Source organism: Homo sapiens, chromosome 12 (genome assembly GCF_000001405.40).
Source record: "Homo sapiens chromosome 12, GRCh38.p14 Primary Assembly".
Taxonomy (NCBI): Eukaryota; Metazoa; Chordata; class Mammalia; order Primates; family Hominidae; genus Homo; species Homo sapiens.
Genome location: NC_000012.12, coordinates 100,319,867 through 100,341,774, shown reverse-complemented (window position 1 = coordinate 100,341,774; position 21,908 = coordinate 100,319,867). Strand labels below are relative to the sequence as shown.

General features: G+C 35.7%; 1 protein-coding gene across 5 annotated transcripts in view, besides 2 other annotated features; it reads right to left on the bottom strand.

Annotated features, from left to right (window-relative positions):
• Nucleotides 1–59: 59 nt before the first annotated feature.
• Nucleotides 60–21,908, bottom strand: part of SCYL2 (SCY1 like pseudokinase 2) — a 74,539-nt gene continuing 52,690 nt past the window's right edge. For all 5 annotated transcript variants that reach the window (NM_001330253.2, NM_017988.6, NM_001330256.2 and 2 more), the window contains 8 exons: nt 18,137–18,250; nt 15,021–15,153; nt 12,456–12,574; nt 7,509–7,609; nt 6,084–6,150; nt 5,869–5,964; nt 4,269–4,388; nt 60–3,247 (listed from right to left, as the gene is read on the bottom strand). In NM_001330253.2, coding sequence (NP_001317182.1) covers nt 2,603–3,247; nt 4,269–4,388; nt 5,869–5,964; nt 6,084–6,150; nt 7,509–7,609; nt 12,456–12,574; nt 15,021–15,153; nt 18,137–18,250 — 1,395 coding nt within the window. In that variant the 3' untranslated portion in view covers nt 60–2,602. The remainder of the gene's footprint in view (nt 3,248–4,268; nt 4,389–5,868; nt 5,965–6,083; nt 6,151–7,508; nt 7,610–12,455; nt 12,575–15,020; nt 15,154–18,136; nt 18,251–21,908) is intronic.
• Nucleotides 10,818–11,039: a silencer, noted in NCBI's record as "fragment chr12:100724514-100724735 (GRCh37/hg19 assembly coordinates)". NCBI's record gives its function as "represses an EF-1alpha promoter that drives an FKBP-Casp9 reporter gene in an ReSE screen in K562 erythroleukemia cells {active_cell/tissue: K562}" and the evidence as "EXISTENCE:reporter gene assay evidence [ECO:0000049][PMID:32094911]".
• Nucleotides 11,765–11,944: an enhancer, noted in NCBI's record as "active region_6859". NCBI's record gives its function as "activates an Ori minimal core promoter by ATAC-STARR-seq in GM12878 lymphoblastoid cells {active_cell/tissue: GM12878}" and the evidence as "EXISTENCE:reporter gene assay evidence [ECO:0000049][PMID:35858748]".

Sequence of the window (21,908 nt, the reverse complement as noted above, 5' to 3'; positions counted from 1 at the left end):
CCAAAATTATTTTAAGACCAGTAATCACAAAGTATGAAATCACAACTTAATATGGAAAGTTTTATCAAAGCTAAAATTTATTTGGTGCATACTCCTCTTGATATCAGGTATGTTCGCATATACCTTTTTCTTTCATGTGTAAAAACAACCATGTGAGGTATTTTACAGGTCAAAAGAAAACAAAAACTACTTCCTTATTCAGTGTAAAGGAGGCTTATAAGCATTCCAAAATAAAAACAAACAAAAACCAGACAAGTACATAGTCTATTTCCATTTCCTTTTATACATCCTCTCTATATATCACACATTTAGCAATAGGAGAATAGAGAACTAATTCAAATGCAAGGGAATCTTTTTTGTAGATTCTGTTGACAGATGCTCTTTAACCTAAACATTTTCTACTCTAAACATAACGGACTTAATTGTCTTCAGTACGTGAAATAATTTTAAGGTGATCTAGTACTTTGAAAATTTCATTCACTTAAGAACACTTAAGCTGAAAAATAGCACTATTTTTCAGAGGCAATTTCTCAACAGAAAAAGGCAATGGTAACAGTTCAATTGATGGAAATGGTTGAAATAAAATACCTGAAGTAGAAAAAAGGTGTAGGAACAATTTTGTAAAAACATAGCACCATTACCTCAACGAATGAACAAATTTTACATACTGTATTTTTTTCAAATGACTTATTTTCATATTTAGTAGTTCAAGTTCTATAAGCTGTTATATTAAGCTTTCTTTCTGTTTAAGAGTTCAACACTAACATCATGTTATTTTACAAAATAAAAAACAATTTCTCAATAAACAGTGACTACTAAATTGTTACAAAGAAAAATTCTTCAATACTTATTTTATTCCATATGTAGGCTTTTTCCCAAAAGACATATTAATATTGCATTACAAACAGGACAGCTAATCTGGTCAAGTTGTGAATATATTTGACAAAAACATTTGATCTTCCTACTGTTTTTCATTTATTGGATGCATTTCTTTAGCAATTCTGTTAGTCCTTTTTCTAAAATCAAGTTAACCAAGTACAGCCCATACAGAAATCAGATGTGAAAGCTGACTTCTATTTTTTAAAGTACCCTCTTAACTGAATGCTGCCAGCAATAATATAATTAAATTACATTTTGTAATCAAGTGCTGTGTATTACATATATTGTGTATATATTTTCAATGAATATTCATATAAAATGAATAAACAATACCAGCATACTAAACTTAATATGGTTTATTTTAAATGATTGCTGGTTCCAGATAATTAAAAACCATCAACTCTATGGCAGCAACTATAATACATATATAGTTCGTTGAAAGATGGTTTTAAAGTTTTATGAGTGGAATATTATTTTTTAAAATACAAATGACATTTATAGCATAAGGCTCTGTGGTTGAATAATCAGCAAATTAAAGAAAAATATCAGAGAAAGGTTTTGAAAAATAAAGCATGTTTCCTGTTAAGAGAATTGATTCTTTCCTTCCTAAAAATGGCTAATAGAAATTAAAATATTTAAACAAAAGGTTCCTAAAATTCCTAGAAAAAAATTGAACTTCAGTAGCAGTAATTAATGAGGTCAGACTATCATGGCAAGCTGAAAATCTGTTGGTGGTCAGAAGATACAACTGCTCAATTTTTACAGAAGTAAAGTTTATTACATTTGAAACAATACAGCAGAAACCTCAAAAGTTTACTCATAAATATAGTTTAATTCTTACAAATCTTCTTTTGAAAATGCAATTCATATATGCTGCAACCTCAGAAGTTTGAATTTGAAATGAAATATGAAGGTAGTAGTCAGGGAAGTCACATCAGAGTGCCTTGTCAAATATCCAAACAAATCAGCACATACCTCTTCCTTGATACAGGAGGAAAAAAGTGATTCTAAATATATCCAAGTGAATGCAGAAAAATACATTACTATTTGAGGCAGACCATGCTAAAATATAATTTACAATGATTAGTTTGCACTTAAGATGGTTAATAACGCATTTAAACCAATGAAATGAAGGTTAAGTTGAATTTTGTAGTATTTGCTCAGTCTCTGTACTAAACAATAGTTCATCTGAAAAGTTTGGAAAAAGCAAATAACCTGATACTTCTCTTTATGCTTATCATTTTCTCACTGTCATCTTAAATGCAAACAAATCAATACAGCATCAAGATTTTTTACATATTAAAATGAAGACTAATGACTCATAGACTGTGTACCATATAGTACTTAATAGATGAGCTTGCAATGACCATCACCTCAATTTTTTAAATAACACCAAGATCCACAAGCCAAAATAAACATTTGATTAAAAAGTTATGTTATTCAAGATAACTCAGTTTCCTTTTTCTCTTTGAGATTGGGAAGGGCTGGGTCTTTAAAAACCTGAAGAGGAGTTGGTAAGAGGAAAAAATCCTCAATGCTTTAAAAAACTCAACTGGTTAGAAGTCCATACAACTACTATGCTGGCATGGACAGAGATGTTTCCTGTCACAGAACTGTTCACTTTCCCATAGAAGTACTTCCTCCAAGCCAACTATATAAAGATGTAAATCAGCTCACCCATGATTGAAACTGAAATAATCCTTCAAAATAGAAGTAAGACACCTCACCCAAAAAGATCTTTTAAATCATTGCTAGCTGAACTGCTATTGGTCATAGTAGTTGGTGGCTGTGCAAAGTTCTGTGGGTTAAAGAAAGGATTACCCTGCATACCAAAAGCAGATTGTCCTATCACGTTCATCTGTGTCCCCATTACTGAACTGCCCATAGTTGGAGAACCTTGAGGAGGTACAAACTGATTAAGCCACTGATTTGGTTTCTGTTGTGATAACTGGTTCATGCTAACTTTGGGTTTCTGAGGGCCAAAGAGATTATTAAGGGCAGACATATCTGTGGGTCTTTGTTGGGTCTGCTTTGCACCAGCAGGAGGAACACTCAAAGCATTGAAGTTTGGCAAAGTGGGAGGTGTTCCCAGAGTCATCTTGGTCACTCCAACTGTGCTTGGACTACTGTAGAAGTTCTGGTTTGTATTAACGGGCATGTTGAATCCTGAAGTCTGAAAGCCCATATTGGCATTTAGGCCATTTGTCAAATTTCTCTTTGTATTATCAGTTGGTGTAGAAAACATCATACCAATGCCCATGGAAGGAACAGAAGTGAAAGTACTTGAAGCAGAAGATTTAGGGGTACTAACAGAAAGGCTGGTCAAGGATGACATATTATCCATCAGTGTGTCTGTCAAGTCCTTAGTCTGAAAAATATGAGAGAATTACTTTATCTCTAAGAAATATAAATTACTTTATAATTAGTAAACATTTGACAGATTAAATTATAAAGGACAAGTTAGAATTAAGCTCAATGGTCTACACCAAATTAGCAAACTATAGCCTGCCGGTCAAATACAGCCTGCCACCTATTTTTATATAGTTTTTACAGATGAATATTTGCAATCGATTTGATGATAGGGAACACTAACTGTAAACTCCAATTAAGCAAAATATTATCTTGTCAAAAAAAGAATCGCATTCTTCTTATTCTATATTACAAAAAATACAGTAATTTTTTACTATTATTTGTATAGTTTGAATTTCATCAAAACTTTATAGGAATTTGTTTCCTCTATTCTTAAAAAAGTACCTACAAAATATTCTCAGTTTTGCCTCTTGGCCCACAAAGGTTTTTCTCAGAGAAAATGTTAGTGATTAAGAGGTAACAAAAAAATAGTTTAAAGAAAGCTTTTAAGATAAAGCTATCTCTGAAACCAGTAACAGTGTAAACTCTCTACAAGCAGGGCCCTTATTCACTGCCATAGCACCAATACCTGGAACAGTGCCTGGAACACAGGAGAAAACAAATACTAGCCAGGTCATGTAGGTACATCTTAAATCAAGTTACAAATCTAACTATAATTGAAAAGTCAAACACAGAAAATAACTTCAGCTCAAAAATATGTTAAGAGCATGAATATAATATTCTGATCATTTCAGAGTGAACAGAGTTGAATGAGTACTATGAGTCCTAATCTCTTTTAAGAACCCTTCCTATTCTTCTAGCTTCTTTTTTACTGGTAACAAGCATTGTCACAAAACATTATACATTAGGCAGGTTATAGCTGAGTTGGAAAATCATTTATGCCCATACTTCTTAGAAACCACATATTAAGGTATTATTTGAGATATATTTTTATACAAATACTAGTAGACTAAGTTCTATACCACCTTACTCCTTAACAGTCGTATTCTGGAAATTACACAAAAGAAATGAACTCTGACCTGTTTAACAGTAGCAACAGGTGTGTGCACTTGGGGTTTAAGAGGCTGCTGGCTTTTCAGCTTCTGTGCCTGCTCTTGTTCTTTTGCTAATTTTTGTTTTTCTTCAAGTGTAAGTGATGCCTTAAAACAAAATAAAGCAAAAAATCAACCGGCAATTTATTAAGTCCATTTGTAAAACAAAAGATAATCTCTTCGGGTAAAGTACATCTTACTACTTCACTGAAAAGCAAACTACTCTTGTCTTGGTGATTGTCACAGTAAGCTGTATTTCAAATTACTATATAATTTAACTTTAGATAAAAACTCACAGGATCTGTGCAAAAGTATTTCCAGCATGAAAATAATAATTATTTTAAAACCATTCATTAGAATCACTTTTTTCCAGACAATGACAATAAGATTTAGTGATTTCATTCTTGAAAATTGGGAAATCTATTTAAACTCTAATCTATCTCACCCCAAGAATATTTTAGGAACTCACAAAAAGCAAAGAATGAATGAAACAACATTAGCAGTTCTTTCACTGCTGATGTCTACAGCAAATTTGATGTCTTGTCTTTTATCAACTTTGCTAAACTAAAAGCTCACAATGTTCTCTTACAATTTTGTAAACTACTATGTCCAGTAGTCCCTTAGCTTTACACATACAGTATTCACATTTATGAATGAATAGAAGAATGCCCTCAGCAGAAGTCACAAACTGACTTAAAGTTTTTTTATTGGATGCTAACCAAGAGAAAAGTATCCTATTATAGTTTCATATTCAAAATCAGAGGGGGAGCAAAATTTTAGCAAGAAATAGAGAAGAAAAAAATGTGCTCAGATTTTTTATCTACTTATGAGATGGAATCAGATCTATTTTGAAAATCCTCTTTAAAATATTGTTGGTCTGCCATTAATAAGTCATGTATACATCATGTACCCCTGCTGGAATAAACCAAGAAGGGTACATCATCACTTCTGTAGTATGCCTGCCAAAAATGTACAACTTTAATCCAATTATGAGAAAACATGAGACAAACTCAAATTGATGGCCATGCTACCAAATAACTGACCAGTACTCTGTGAAAGTGTCAAAGTGAAAATCTGATGGACTATAAAAGTTGACACCATGAAATGACAGAAGATGAGGTTGCTAGGCTCAAAAAGAATGGAAGGAGTTTGGAACTCAAACTGTTGGGAATGTAGTGAGTGGGAGAGAAATTAAAATACTGAAGAGCAACAATCAGAGACAGCCTAGGATAGCTGGACAGCACAAATCTATAGTAGAATCCATCAACACAGGAGCAGAAGCAAAGAGAGACAGTGGGATTCACCAAGGGGTGTGACTGGCAAAGTACAAGAGAAAGGACAAAGGAGTCAAGGAGTCTATAAATATTACCTTGTGGCAAGTCAAGTAATAATGGAAGCTAAAAATCTTAAGTATGTTTATTCTCAAAATGGGTTAGGGTCATGTTTAACTGATAAAGGAATTTCAGAAAGATAATTACAAATGTTTCTTGTTAAGCTGCTGAACAGTATTTCCCAACAAAAATCTGTGGTTTACAGGAAGTCCTACAGCATAAAATAAGAGGGCTGAAAGAACAGTAAGGAAACTCACTCTTTTATGTTTATTCTGTAACCCGTCCTCTTTATTTTCGGACTCACTGCCAGTCAGAAGGTCTGCTCCAATGTTGTTAAAAACTTTGTCAATTTGCTGAAATAGAAAAATGTCAATAATTTAAATAAGTTCAATAAAAATGTGATTTTGCTGCTTAAAGATTAAAAGCCCTCCAGATGAAGCATACTTTCTGCAAAAATTAAGCTGCTTCTTACCTGATTCCCAATATTTGTAACTTTCATCTCCTCAGAAACATTCATTTGATTTCCTATATCCAAAGATCTGTAGGAGAGTTGAATTATGATAAAACAATAAAAAGAAATGCATATTTTTAAATACTCATGCCAAAAATTATTTATTCACATGGAATTTATTAGACCCCAATTAAACTCTTTAAGAAGAGTCATCTTTTCCATTATTTTCTACTGTTAATGTCTGCTTGCCCCAAAAATAACATTTGTATGTAAGTCCATTTCTTAAACTCAACATTGGGGATTTACTGGAGAATTTATTCAAGGTGTCATAAAACCAGTCAAGCATGGTTCTCTTGTCAAAGAGCTTAACATCTCACTCAAAGACAAGATATAATATGGGGAATTCAATGTGATTAAGTTCTGAGTCTGTGATACTAACAATGAATGCTATAATCACTGTTATGTGAGCCAGATCTATGTCCTGAGAAATAGGTAAGATTTAGATAGGAGGAAGAAAAAGGAAGGGTTCATTTGCCAACTCAAATATAAATACTTGTTATTAAAAATTTATTTCTACCTATAATGCATTTTAAAAATTATTTCTCCAGATTTTTATGTTAACATAGTCAATCCATCAAACACCACATACATACACACTATAGAATACTTCAAGCATACAAAGGGCTATTTCACCTATTTCTATACCATGTGTATTTACTTTAAGTCTTCATCTTGTGGGCAGAAGCTAAAGAGTTTCTACTTGGGGACCTTGTTCATGATTTATATCAATTTTACTGATTTTTAGATGTTTTTTGGTTCAGGATCAAACTTTAATAGGTATCCTAGATTCATGTGTTTTACTCTGGAGCAAAGAATATAGTGGGGCTTCGATTTTAATAAACTAGATTCAACAGTCAACGATTTCCATCTTTGCCTTCTTTGAATACTAGTTTTCTGCAAATAATTTAGAAAATCCTCCCTAAAAATAAAACCAGGTGAATGTTGTGATGCTAAATATGAAATGAATGCTCTCTAAATGTTTGTGGGGCTGGAGAAGAGAGAATGAAAAAAAAATCAAAACACTAGAAGTTCATAAATTTAAAAAATTTTCCTAATTGGTGCTTTTAGTTTTCAGCAACCTGAGTTTACAATGCTAGTGGCTACTGCTGACAAGAAATTTTTCAGAAACAGAATTTTCTTTATGTAGATAAAATGCTAAAATTATACCATATTACACTTTTGTACTCAGAAGTGACACTAGATTTTTCAACCACATTCTATTTTAATTCAGTTCAACTTATTAACATGATGGTAAATTTTGAAATGTTTTACATGTGGTCAAATTTAAATCCAGCAAGTTTTCTATTCCATATTCCAGAAAATCAATCATAAGACAACTATAATTTCACTCCCGGACCACATATAATTCATGTGCAACCTACTTACTTCTGCTGTTCTTGCATTATATGAAGTTGCTCCAGTTTAGTCTTATGTTCAGACTCCAATCTATTAAGCATTTCTTTTATGACGGAAATGAAAGAATTGAACTGGTATAATGAGAAATTGATATGGTTACAATGTTTCAAGTTAGCAGCAAATGTAATCAATTAAGATAATTCAGTAAATTAATCATAATATTCTCCATTTTTACCAGTAGAATAGGATCCAGTCACAGCGCTGATATTCAATAAGAATGATACATTTAAATTCGGCATATCATAGCAAGCTTTTATAATATCTTTGGTGATGATATGATAGTTGATGAGGCTTTTAAGTTCCAGAAAACATGTCTCAATAATGAGTTTTACTCCCGGAGTTGTTTAATAGCTATTATTCAGGGGCCTTGTATAAATTCACCCTTAGCAGTTATATATTGATCTTCTTGGGATAATTCAAAATTAACCATCTGAATTTGTGCCTTCTAGAAATAATCCATTTAATAGGCATAGAAAATTCCTGCTTATTCAGATTGCAATGACATATCTGGCTAAAATAAATCCTGTTTTCTGACAGTTGAAAAATTAAATGTACATAATCCAACTTTCAAATAATTAGATTTCATAAAGCATACCTAGCACTATGTCTTAACATAGTTTAAGCTTTGGTTAATTTTGGTCAACTGCTGATCATTCATCCCTATGGTACTTCATTCAGGATCATCATAAACAACTTATTTGAATAACACCACGTTACAGGAAGAATCTAGAAATGGCTCTCCTCCTTTCCCCAAATTTTATAACTACATTTTTGTGTTGAGTGTTTATACATACACTATTTTATTAATCCTCACAACTCTTCAAAGTAGGTTCATTAATATTTCTAATCTACAAATGAGGAAACTCAGGCTCAATGAGAGGTAAAGGAACTCAGAGATGCTAGAGAGCTCATATGGCAGAGCTAGAATTCATTCTAAGCCTGTCTCCAAAGTCTGCACCCTTTTCTACTACGTTATACTGCTTTTCACCATGCTCTATCAGCAGCAGCTTCTTCATCTTATGAGAAAGTCAAAAGGCATGTTTCCAAAGCAGTTTACTATGATTGACTTTCCACTGATTAGGGTTCCTAAAACTTTTTATTGAAGTATACTAACACAAAAGTCTACATGTCAAAGTGCACAGACAAAAAAAAAAAAAATTCACAATTCACACAAATTGAACACACCCAATGTAACTAGTAGCCAGATAAAGAAACAACATCGGTCCAGGCATGTGGCTCACACCTGTAGTCCCAGCACTTTGGGAAGCCAAGACAGGAAGATCATTTGAGCCTAGGAGTTTGAGACCAGCCTGGGCAACGTGGAGAGACCACATCTCTACAAAAAAATACAAAAATTAGCCAGGAGTGGTGGTACATGCCTGTAGTCCTAGCTACTTGGGAGGCTGAGGTGGGAGGATCACTTGGGCCCAGGAGGTCAACGCTGCAGTGAGCTGAGATTGTGCCACTGCACTCCAGCCTGGGAGACAGAGTGAGACCCTGTCTCAAAAAAAAAAAAAACAAAAATAAAAACAAAAACAAAGCAAAATCATTGTCAACATCCCAGAAGCTTCCTTATACCCCCTTCCAGTCATTTTCCACCCTCATACTCTTTGGGTAAACTTTATTCTGACTTCTAGCAGCATAGTTTAGACTATTGTACTTTATATAAATGGATCATTCAGCAGATCCTCTTCTATGCCTGGCTTCATTCACTCAACATGTTTGTGAGATTCATCCGTATTGTTAAATGTAGTTTGTGCAGAAAACAGTTAACATTGTAGGCCTAAACTGCTATCCTCGAAAACTCCTGCTTGCAAAATTGGCCTTTAGCTGATGTCTGGGAACTCAGATTTCAGAAAGGTTCCTATTATTAACTGGTAACAGTGGTTTACTTGCCTAAACTGTTTGTACAAAGAATATGTTCTATGCTGTACACCTGCCTTCCTTCTGGGAGTTTGGAATTTGAGTACATGCCAGGCAGAGGGTGTTACTTGATCAGACCTCATTGAAAACTCTGGACACTGAGTCTCTAATAAGTTTCCCTGGTTGGCAACATTTCACATGTATAACCACAATTCATTACAAGGGGAATCCTGCGTGATTTCACTGGGAAAAGACTCTAGAAGCTTGTGCCTGGTTTCCCTAGACTTTGTCCTATGAACCTTTTCCCTTTCCTGATTTTGCTTTATATCTTTTCACCATAGTAGAGCACAGCCTGGGCATAACTATATGCTGAGTCCTGAGTCCTCCTACTGAATCATCCATTCTGGGGGTGGTCTTAGAAACCCCCCTCAAACACAACTGATTGATTATTCAGTGTACTGCTGCAGGGCATTTGCTGTTTTTTATTCAAATGCTGAAAATGTATTTTCCTAAGTTACTTATCTTTGTCACTTAATGTATAATAGATTTAAATCATCTTAAATCAGAAAGGAACTAAGAAGGCAGTCTTAAATGAGAAACACTGACCATGAAACAAATGGGAAGGCAGACCACATCCATGCTAAACTACTGTAAAATACAAGAAGATATGAATCAAAATATTTGTTGATGAAAATAGCCACTCCCCCCACCCCAAAAAAAACCCACTAAGCTGAAGTAAATTAACACAACATTTCAAACAGAATTAGAGACAGGGTCTTGCTTTGTCATCCAGGCTGGAGTGCAGTGGTGCAATCTCAAATCACTGCAACCTTCACCTCCCAGGCTCAAGCAATCCTCCTACCTCAGCTCCCTCTGGTAGCTGGGACTACAGGCGCACACCACCACACCTGGCTAATTTTTGTATTTTTGTAGAGAAGGGGTTTCACCATGTTGCCCAGGCTGGTCTCAAACTCCTGAGCTCAAGTGATCCACCTACCCTTCCCTCCCAAAGTGCTGGGATGACAGGAGTGAGCCTATATATCCTAAAATAAGCATTTGGGAATATTTAAAAACTCTAAATCAGAAACATGAGAACTAAGAACAGAAATGACAAAAAGCTGAAGGCTGTTTTAGGCATATTATCCTATTCCTCCCCAATACTCACTGTCTCCCTTCTTGCCCACCCTAACCTCAACTCTGCTATCCAAGATATGAAGAAATTACCAAACCAAAAATTAAAATCTAGGGGGCCAGGCATGGTGGCTCATGCCTGTAATCCCAGCACTTTGGGAGGCCGAGGCAAGCAGATCACTTGAGATCGGAGTCTGAGACCATCCTGGAACATGGTGAAAACCTGTCTCTGCTAAAACTACAAAAATTAGCCAGGCATGGTGCCTCATGCCTGTAATCCCAGGTATTCAGGAGGCTGAGGCATGAGAATTGCTTGAACCAAGAAGGCGGAGGTTGCAGTGAGATGAGATTGCTCCACTGCACTCCAGTCTGAGTGACAGGGCGAGACTCCATCTCAAAAAAAAAAAAAAAAGAAAAAAAATTAAAACCTAGGAACAAATTTTCAGAGGCTTACCCTATTACTTCAAATGAAATGTTCATTCTGATTAGTTTTATAAATTTCTCTACCTCCAAAACTCTGCTCACTCAGCACTCTCCCCAATGCCAAACGCTCTCAACTTCCAGCTTTCTGCTTCCCTCATTGCTGTAATTCACTCTCAGTTCTAAATCCTCCCTGCCTATCCATCTCTGATGCTCTCAGTTAAACAGTAACCCAACTCAGTCTTTTCCATTATATTTCATTAAATACTAGTTCTGTTGTGAACAAAAATGACTCGTCTCTATATCTCAATTTTCTCTCAATTCAATTAATATTTTTGCTTCTGTCATTGCACTAAGTGCTGGGGCTATAATGAAGAATAAGCTCTAATAACCAGTCTTTGAGGAGTTTCTAATCTTCAGGAAGAATCAGTCACATAAGAACACAGCTGTGACAAACAGCGATAGAGGTATGCAGAGAGACAATTCCATAATAATCTTTGGACACATTATTCCTTTACTCAAACATTTACCACACCTTGAAAGTTCAAATACCTAAACCAGACAGGCATTTAAAGTCTACCTATTCTAGTCTCAATTTATCTTTCTCCCATTATTCTCCTACTGTATTATATATATCTGCCAATCAAATTGAATTATTCCTTCCCAGTGATATATAGACTCTTAAAATGGTTCCCAATTATCTCCTCCTCCTGCCATTCATGCCCTTGTGGAATCCCCTATCTTTGAGTGTGGGCTGAACCTGTGACTTGTTTCTAAAGCAACAGACTATGGCACAGGTGATGGGGTATCACTTCCTTGATTACAAGGGACTATAATTTCAGTCTTGCTAGCAGACTCTCTTTTGCAGGCTTTGATGAAACAAGTTGCCATGTTGGAAAGTCCCATGTGGCTAGGAACTGACAGTGGCATCCAGCTAATAGCTAAGAATGGAGGCCCTAAGTACAACAGCCCAAAAGCAACTGAATCTTGCCAACAACCACGTAAGTGCGCTTAGAAGTAGATCACTCCATAGCTGGGCCTTGAACGAGCCCCAAGTCCTTTACTACAGCACTGTGAGAAACCCTGAGCAGGGAATCCAGCTAAGCCATGTTCTGGCCTGACCCACAGAAGCTGTGAGATAATAAATGTGTGTTGCTTTAAACCCTTAAGTTTGTGGTGATTTGTTCTGTAGCAATCAATAAATAATGAATATACTCCCCAAACACATTCTATAACTTTGTTCTTCATTCATGTCAATTTCCCAGCCCCAAATTTAAAGTAGTCCCAAATCCTACATATTTCTCAACATCCTGCTCATTTACTATTTACCAATGACGTCTTTAACAATCTATCCTTCCACCCACAAACTTTCTTCATTTAGTTCTGTGGCATATTCTCCCCTCACCCTTTTTTTTTTAACCAATCTTTGTAATATATTTATATATCTAATGCCAAGAAAAAAGTAAGCTGAATAAAATGAATAAAGCACAAAAATACTCCTACCTGATTAAGATTAAGATTGTTTTCAATACTCAGGGGAATAAGATGAGGCAACACTTTTCCGGCCAGCTGCTCTTTGGTGATTCCCAACTTCTTATGAGTAAAAGTACATTTGTAAATACCTGATAGAAAAGAATGTGACAAATTTTATAAGTTAACACCATAAATTCATAGAAATCATGAAAATAATATATGTATACGAAATCCCTTGATAATCTGTGTAGTACAAGTTTTTCCCAATCAATGCCTAGAATAATGATGTTCTTACATATGAATCAGAATGATTTCAGCCTTTATCATCAGGCCAGATTTAAACACCATGACATATTTATCCTGTGTTCTTTTGGTTTAGGAGTACATTTAATGATAGCATAACATAAGAAGCTTATCAGAACCAGGTTCAATTCTTATTGTGCAGCAGTAAGGTTACAGAATGGCCTTCTATTCTGAAACATCTAAATATATATTTCAGAAATCATACTCAAGGCATCTATTTCAAAGGGTATAGTATAGGTACAGTCAAAATATAAGTCCTACACCTTTATTCACTTCTTCAGCAAATCAAACTCAACATGTTTGAAATTTAATAACTGAATTCAATTCCACAAAATCCTTCCCTATTGTCTCACCTATTTACTCAATCTTCAAGACCCCACTTGTTACATCTATCCACAAAGCCTTCATTTGGTAAACTGAGTACATTTCCGCCTCATTCTCTGAATGCTTTTGAGTTCTAAGTGTTTTGTATATAATCCAAAGCTTTGTGAAATACCATCCCCCATTATTCTGTTAATGTGCACATGACTTATATACCCAAAGAGTAACTTTATTGGGCACCTACTAAATGCTTATTTGCTGAGCACTATGCTTGTTACTTTCCCTTTGTTTCAGTGAAGTCTCACAAGAATCCTAAAATGACGTTAGTCTCATCCTCATTGGATAAATAAACTTTTCAAAGTCACCTCAAGAACTGACAGAGCCAGGATTAGAGCCAGGGCTCAAATTTCTACTATGCCAAACTCCTGCTCAAAAAGACTTTTTTTTTAAGACAGGGTCTTGCCCTGTTGCTCATGCTGGAATGCAGTGACACGATCATGGGTCCCTGCAGCCTCAACCTCCCTGGTTCATGTGATTCTCCCACCTCAGACTCCCAAGTAGCTGGGACTACAGGCGCATGCTACCACACCTGGCTAATTATTGTATTTCTAGTAGAGATGGGGTTTTGCCATGTTGCTCAGGCTGGTCCTGAACTCCTGGGCTCAAGTGATCTACCCACCTTGGCCTCCCAAAGTGCTGGGAATACAGGTGTCAGCCACTGCATCCAGCCAAGAAGACAAACTTCTTTCTGCACAAAAGATTCATGCGATATCCCTAGAGTACCTTCCATGTCTATAGAGGTCCACAATAAATACTTGCTAACCATTCCCACAAATATTTACTGAGCAGTTTCTGCAGGCCAAGCACTACATTAGGTGTTAAGAATACATGGATGAATAATATAATTTTTCTTAAAAATTAACAAAGAACCAGGCGGTAATCCCAGCACTTTGGGAGGCCGAGGCAGGTGGATCACAAGGTCAGGAGTTCAAGACCAGCCTGGCCAAGATGATGAAACCCTGTCTCTACAAAAAATACAAAAAAATTAGCCATGCGTGGTGGCAGGTGCCTGTAATCCCAGCTACTCAGGAGGCTGAGGCAGAGAATTGCTTGAACTCGGGAGGCGGAGGTTGCAGTGAGCTGAGATGGCACCGCTGCACTCCATCCTGGGTGACAGAATGAGACTCCATCTCAAAAAAAAAAAAAATTAGCAAACAACCTTAAATTAAATAAAAAATGAACCTGTTAAATGTTTTTGTGACTCTATAGCTATGCCTATTTTATTAGTGCAGCAGACCCCTGGCATTTTCAGATTGGACTTCTATAACTTTAACTATATATAAATGATTTCAGAGTTTCTTAGTAATTTGTAATTATGCTGAGAGAACAGAATGTCCTATAAGGTTAACATGCTTCATCAGCATATCACTTAGCCACAAAATATACTAATTAAGACTTAAACATATTAGAAAACCAGCTCCTATCACTTACCACTTATATGATCTTGAATCACTTATTTTACCTCTCTGAGCCTCAGTTTCCTTATAAAATAGAAACAATAGTACCTATTTAATTGAATTTGGGGAAGAATAAAATAACATAACGCAGAGAAAATACTTTGCCTCTTACAAATTGAGTATCAAATAAACCTCAGATATTACTACTAAGACCAGTATCAGCATTTCCAGTAGCTTTGTTTGCCTCTCTCACTTTGTACCATTTTATGGGGAAAACTACATGCTATCATGATATTCGTAAAGCTAGAATTCTTAAATATCTTATTCCTTTATAAATGTCAAGATTCTACTGCTTTTGCTAAACTTAAAGAGAAAAGTTATATTATGGTATTTATCACATCATTCTTCAATTATGAAATGCTATATACACGAAAGGAGAGTATAATTGTTTTATAGATTGGAAAATTTATTTGCATGATAAAATAGCATCAAATGACATTAAATTTTCAGCTACCTAAAATTCCCATGAGGACCGCAGGTTCCTTGGATGGAATTTGTTGTAAGAAGGGTAGGATATCATCAAGTACAAACCACTTATCCAAGTATTCCAAAATCTTTCCTAAGCACACTAATGAATTTACACGAACCTATTAAAAGAGGTAAATTGCATTAGTCATTAAAAGTTTTCAAAATCTAGAACAAAATATTTAAGTGTAAACTTAATCTTCATATAAATATGTTAAAGTCTCAAGAATAAATGTAGATTTAGAAGCTCTCATCCTTTATCAACATAGGAAATTCACTTATTTACTAATTTTCCTGGCTTGTTTCACAAAGAATTTATGATTGCTTCACCAGGTCACTAGTGAGCTAAAGTCAAGGAATGACTACAATCTTGTAGCATTTTAAAGTGATTAGAATTTGAGAAACTTTTACTACATTATGTGTTACTATCATAAGAACACTCCTTTGGGGACATTTGAATAATAAAAAGGACTACATTCTTTGCACCAAGTGATCATTTTCACCCACATTCCAGTATTTTACTCTAACTTGGGTTCAATTCATTTTTAAACTAAATATTTTAACATGTGAAGGTATCCATATATGTGTTTTCTATTTCCAAATATACAGTTATTAAGACCTCTTATTTAGAAGCTTTTATCAAAATTCCATATGCACTTGACTATTTGATAAATACATCATACCCTACTTCTATTTGGAATTTCTTAAGATAGAATATCTTTAAGTCAGGACTATAGTATTAATAAAACTCCAGTTTTCAAAAAACAGTAAACCAACAAAGGCAGAAAATAATTTTGTTGGCTAATAAAGCACCATAGTTCTACAGGAAAAATGGGGAAAAATTTCCATTTCTAAAAAACAATGTACAATTGTTTTCTGAAATTAAAACACAAGAGATATTATAAATTCAAAAAGGTATCTGAACGCTTAACTTGTACTCATAATTCGTTTTATAAAAGGAACAGCTGCATTCTACTGAGATATATATATATTTTAAGCAAAACCGAGAATACTAATTTTATTTACTTTTAGGATATATAAAATATTAGTCATGTAAGTAATGAATAAATATAGCTCTTGGAGGATTTTACCTAACTCTGTGTAGAATTTTTAAAAATTTTATTTTCAGGGAAGAGTATTAAGACACAATACTAACTCACGACTCAGGAATTTCCTAGTCAGAATTTTAAACTTTTAGAGATAGAGGACTATGAATACAATTTGGGAATTCCTATTTGCCACTCTGAAGGTAGGCAGAAGCACTGAAAGTACTATCTAAAATCCACTTAAAAGGTGACATATAAAATGTAAATCCATTCCTAGTTACTGTTCTAAATATAAATACATTCATTATAACTTCTTGTAAACAACATGCCTTAACGGCCAGTTGGCATCTTAAAAAGAAACATACATATAACTGGGCAGCAATTCACATCATTTAAGTATCCATGTTTCCCATTTCTACATACCCCTACATATGCTCAGAACTGAACTAGAACAGGTACTCGCTTTGCTTTGGTTTTGGATTTTTTTTGGGCGGGGTGGGGAGCGGCGGGGGCTTGCTCTGTCACCTAGACTGGAAGGAGCAGCACAATCACAACTCACTGCAGCCTCGACCTCTTGGTCTCAAGTGATGCTCCCACCATGCCACCACATCCAGCTAAATTTTTTTATTTTTAGTAGAGACGAGGTCTCGCTGTGTTGCTCATGCTCGTCTTGAACTCAGTGCTCGAGATCCACTCGCCTCAGCCTCCCAAAGTGTTGGGATTAAAGGTGTGAGCCACCATGCCCGGCCTACAACATGTACTTTGAGAAAATGTATGTTAATATAAATTTATGCTGCCATAAAATAAGGTACATAGTATGATTGTAAGATCTTTAAAAGGGCATTTTGAAAACTAAATTTTAAGCTGTATATTACTACCATCTATTTTAAAAATTCAATTGTAAAATTGAGAATTTTAGAGAAAACAGCTACTTTTAATGATAGTGAAGACTCAGAGAGGCACAGTGACTTTTCAAGGTCACAGGGGTTGTTAGTAACAAAGTGAGAATAAGAACTAAAACTTGACTTTATTTCATTTCATACTTGTTTGTTTCAGTAATGATTTCTTTTTCTACTTTGGTGTTACATTTTCCATTTCAAAGCCTTTCAACCAAGAAATGAACTAAAATAGATTCAATGGCTATAAGATAAAATCATATCATTCAAATTACTTTTGCTTATAATTTTATTAAGCTGTTTATTTTTATTTAAATTCACATTCCACCAGATAAAGACGGGATCTCCAGAGAACTAGTTTTACAAAATGCAAATTTAATAATATGTCCGTTATCAAAAATCAATATCAAGAACTGGTCAGGCAAAAGAGAACATTTCTCCCTCTTTAAAGCTGCTATTTTGAAGACAGCATTCAATATTACTTCTATAAAGAAATATAAATGTGATAAACTATTATATTTAGTGTTAGAGAAAAGGCTGGGGACATTTATTGCTTTCAATATGAGATAATGAAAACTTTGTTATTAATTCTACCTTCCTTGACTAACAAGTAACTGAATGTTAAAATTTTGTATTCAAAGAAGGTAACTATTTCCTTGGTCTACATTTTTTAGCACAACTATTTATCCTACTTGTATTCACATTAATTTATTGCTTTCTTGTACTCTACTTTTTTAAGAAGTGGGCAAGTCAGTGAGAAATAAGACATTTAGAGACCAATAACTAAAAATAAAGGCTATTTATAAAAGGAAACTTTTCAACAAGTTTTTACGCTTAGATACCAAGTTAAACTCTCATAATATTTTTAAACTAACAACAAAATAAATTCAGTTAAAGCAGAAAAGGATTAAGAAAAAAATAATCACCCAACTTTTTTACTGAAGCACTCAAAGTAAAGGGACAGCAAGTAAGGTTAGGAATGCAATATTATAAATTATGTATCAAAGAAAACTACAGCTCATTTTTATAGTACTATATACAAGTTATCTACAGCCAAGATGAAATACATCAACAATCTATAAAAGGGTTATTAAACAATAAGAAAATGATTTAAAGCACTGACAAGTGAAAAGAAAAACAAAAATTAATATGCAATTACTTACCGCAAGGGAAGATGTTTGTAGACAAGCATTTTTAATTCTTGGTATCAAAGCGTTTTTCATGGATGGGTAGTCTATAAGATTTGCAAAGGTTGGAATGATGTTTAGACAGAGCTCCTATAAAGAAAATAAACTGAATCAATATTAGGGAAAGACTCATCTTTTCTCTCTGATATTACAAAGTTTTGCATTTGCATGGCTAAACTGTCATATAGTTTGAAACAAATTTTCATATATATTATTTGGTCCTTTCAACAACTCTTTGAAAAATGAATGGTTATAATCACTTTTCAGTCTTACAGATGAGAAAAAAAGCTCAGAAGACATTACTCAAAGTCATACTAGGTCATAATAACTAGTGTATGACATCCAAACTCCCTGATCTCATTCCTAATCTCTTTCTTTGATAACACAAGTCCTCGTTTATCTTTAAATAACAACACATAAGTTTTGCTATCTCTCAGAAGAAGGGAAAATCAAGTATGAAATCATGTAAAAATACTCCTCTCAAGTAATTCTCTTAGCTGTTACATATATCCATATGATAACATACAACAGTTTTTTAAAACAACATACCGAAAGGAGTGTTTAATTTTTTTTTTTTTTTTTTTCTTGAGACAGGACCTTGCTCTGTCACCCAGGCTGGAGTGCAGTGACGCAATCATAGCTCACTGCAGCATCAACCTCCCAGTCTTGTGGGATCCTCTGGCCTCAGCCTCCTGAGTAGCTGGGACTACAGGTACACGCCATCATGCCCAGCTAATTTTTTTTTTTTTTTTTTGAGACGGAGTTTTGCTCTTGTTGCCCAGGCTGGAGTGTAGTGACATGACCTTGGCTCACAGAATCCTCCGCCTCCCGGGTTCAAGCAATTCTCCTGCCTCAGCCTATCCAGTAGTTGGGATTACAGGCACATGCCAACACACCCAGCTAATATTTTGTATTTTTAGTAGAGATGGGGTTTCACCATACTGGCCAGGCTGGTCTCAAACTCCTGACCTCAGGTGATCCACCTACCTTGGCCCATGCCCAGCTAATTTTTCAATTTTTTGTAAAGACAAGGTCTCACTATGTTTCCCAGGCTGGTCTCGAATTCCTGAGCTCAAGCAATCCTCTCACCTTGGCCTCTCAAAGTGCTAAGATTATAGGCATGAACCACTGAGACCAGCCTTAAAAGAGTGTTTAATAATTTTTAGAAGAAAATTGAGGACAGAGTATTACATAATCCCAATTCTTTTTTTTTTAGTTTTCTTTTTTTTTTTTTTTTTTTTTGAGACGGAGTCTCGCTCTGTCGCCCAGGCTGGAGTGCAGTGGCGCGATCTCGGCTCACTGCAAGCTCCGCCTCCCGGGTTCACGCCATTCTCCTGCCTCAGCCTCCCGCGTAGCTGGGACTACAGGCGCCCGCCACCACGCCCGGCTAATTTTTTGTATTTTTTAGTAGAGACGGGGTTTCACTGTGTTAGCCAGGATGGTCTCGATCTCCTGACCTCGTGATCTGCCCGCCTCGGCCTCCCAAAGTGCTGGGATTACAGGCGTGAGCCACCGCGCCCGGCCCTTTTTTTAGTTTTCTTGGGTTTTTTTTTCTTTTTTTTTTTTTTTTGGAGAGTCTTGCTCTGTCACCCAGGGTGGAGTGCAGTGGCAAATTCATAGCTCACTGTAGCATCCTGGGCTCAAGTGATCCTCCTCCCCAACTCAGCCTCCCAAGTAGCTGGCACTACAGGCATGCACTGCCATGCCTGGTTAATTTTATCATCTTTTATTTTTGGTACAGACAGGGTCTTACTATGTTGCCCAGGCAGGTCTCAAACTCCTGGCTTCAAGAGATCCTCCCACCTCAGTCTTCCAAAGTGCTCAAATTACAGGTGTGAGCTACCGCACCTAATCCCAAGTTCTAAAATGTGTAGGTACCTGTGTCTATCCATAGGTTTAGGAAAAAAGACTAGAAGGATATATATGAAAATGTTAACCATCGTCATCTGTGAGAGCGAATTTTAATTTCTTTTTTTTGTTATTTGTAAGTACTTCCAAATTCTGAAACTTAAAGCAAGCATAACTCAGAAATGGGGGAAAAAAAGATTTAAAACATTCTTGTTAACTAATGTGGTGCCATAGTAGAAATGATAACTGGCAAATTCTGGGAATAACAGGAAAACAGAGGGATGACTGGGGGCTAGGGAACTAAATGAGAAAATGAAAAGAAGAAATGGCTTGAGAACTAACTGGCTAAAGTACACACATCTCAGGCAGTTTATGAGAGATGATCCTTGTAGCAAAGCATAAGAGAAGGGATCACTGAGGAAAACGGAAGCACAAATGTGAATTAGGAAGGATACTACTGAAAATACTGGCAAACTTCAAGACATCCATTTATAGTTAGAAGACAGAAATAAATTAACTACTAAGAATCTGTTATCAGAACACTGGATATATTTTATTTGCTTTAACTTATTCTTAGGCTTCCAAAAGGCAAATGTAAGAGAGTTAATTGTTTGTATCCACTCAGAACTATTAATAATTAAGTGATTGATAAAATTTAAAAATGAGCCAGGCATGGTGGTGTATGTTCCTGTGGTCCCTGCTACTATGGAGGCTGAGGGAGGATCACTTGAGCCTGAGAGAGCGTGGGAGGTCAAGGCCACAGTGAGCTAAGATTGTGCCACTGCACTCAAGCCTGGGCCACTGCACTCAAGCCTGGGCAACAGAGTGAAAGCCTGTCTCAAAAATATATAAATTAATTAATTAATTAAGGACCACAGATGGGAGAAGAGAATGGGCAAGTGTAAGCAGTCAGTGGGACACTATGTTCCTATGTTCCCGTAAGGAGCTTCCTTACAGAAGATCAGGCTTTAAGACAGAGAGACAGAGATAGGCAGACTTACAGGAAAGGACCCCCTAACACCTGTATTATTAAAAAGCGACTGGAAAGTGCCATGCTGTCCAATCAAAGTCATAGCAGGAGGTTACAAAGAGGCAAATCTTAAATTCTGTCTAAATCACTTAGCTAACATAGGGAGAGCTCTCTCCCGAAGAGGAGACAGGATGAGGAACTTTATTTATTTATTTATTTATTTATTTATTTATTTATTTATTTATTTTTGAGACGGAGTCTCACTCTGTCGCCCAGGCTGGAGTGCAGTGGCACGATCTCAGCTCACTGCATCCTCCGCCTCCCGGGTTCAAGCCATTCTCCCTGCCTCAGCCTCCTGAGTAGCTGGGATTACAGGTACCCGCCACCACACCCAGCTAATTTTTGTATTTTTTTAGTAGAGACGGGGTTTCGCCATGTTGGCCAGGCTGGTCTTGAACTCCTGACCTCAGGTGATCCGCCTGCCTTGGCCTCCTAAAGCACTGGGATTACAGGCATGAGCCACCGCACCCAGCCCGGGATGAGGAACTTAATAACAGCCGGGATGAGGAACTATTTTAATAACAGGAGATTGCAAAACACAAAATCAAACCTCAAAGGAGTCTAATTAGCAAACTCTCAGAAACTTCTGTTTATTTTACACTTTATAATGGGTGGTGGGTGGCGGTGATGAAGATAATTTCGATATCCATTTAAAAGGTAAATTAATTTTCAAAAATTGTGTCTGATACACGTTTATAATGCCTCTTTTTAAGAATCCTACCTTTTGCAAACCATCTTCTACCCGTCCAAATGTTTTCAGAACCATCTGTAGCCTCTTAAATATTTCTAATCAAACTTAGCTTTAAAAATTTCAATTTAAAAATGAATTTCAGATGTTACTTTCTAGCCTACTATTTGCAAGAACCTGGA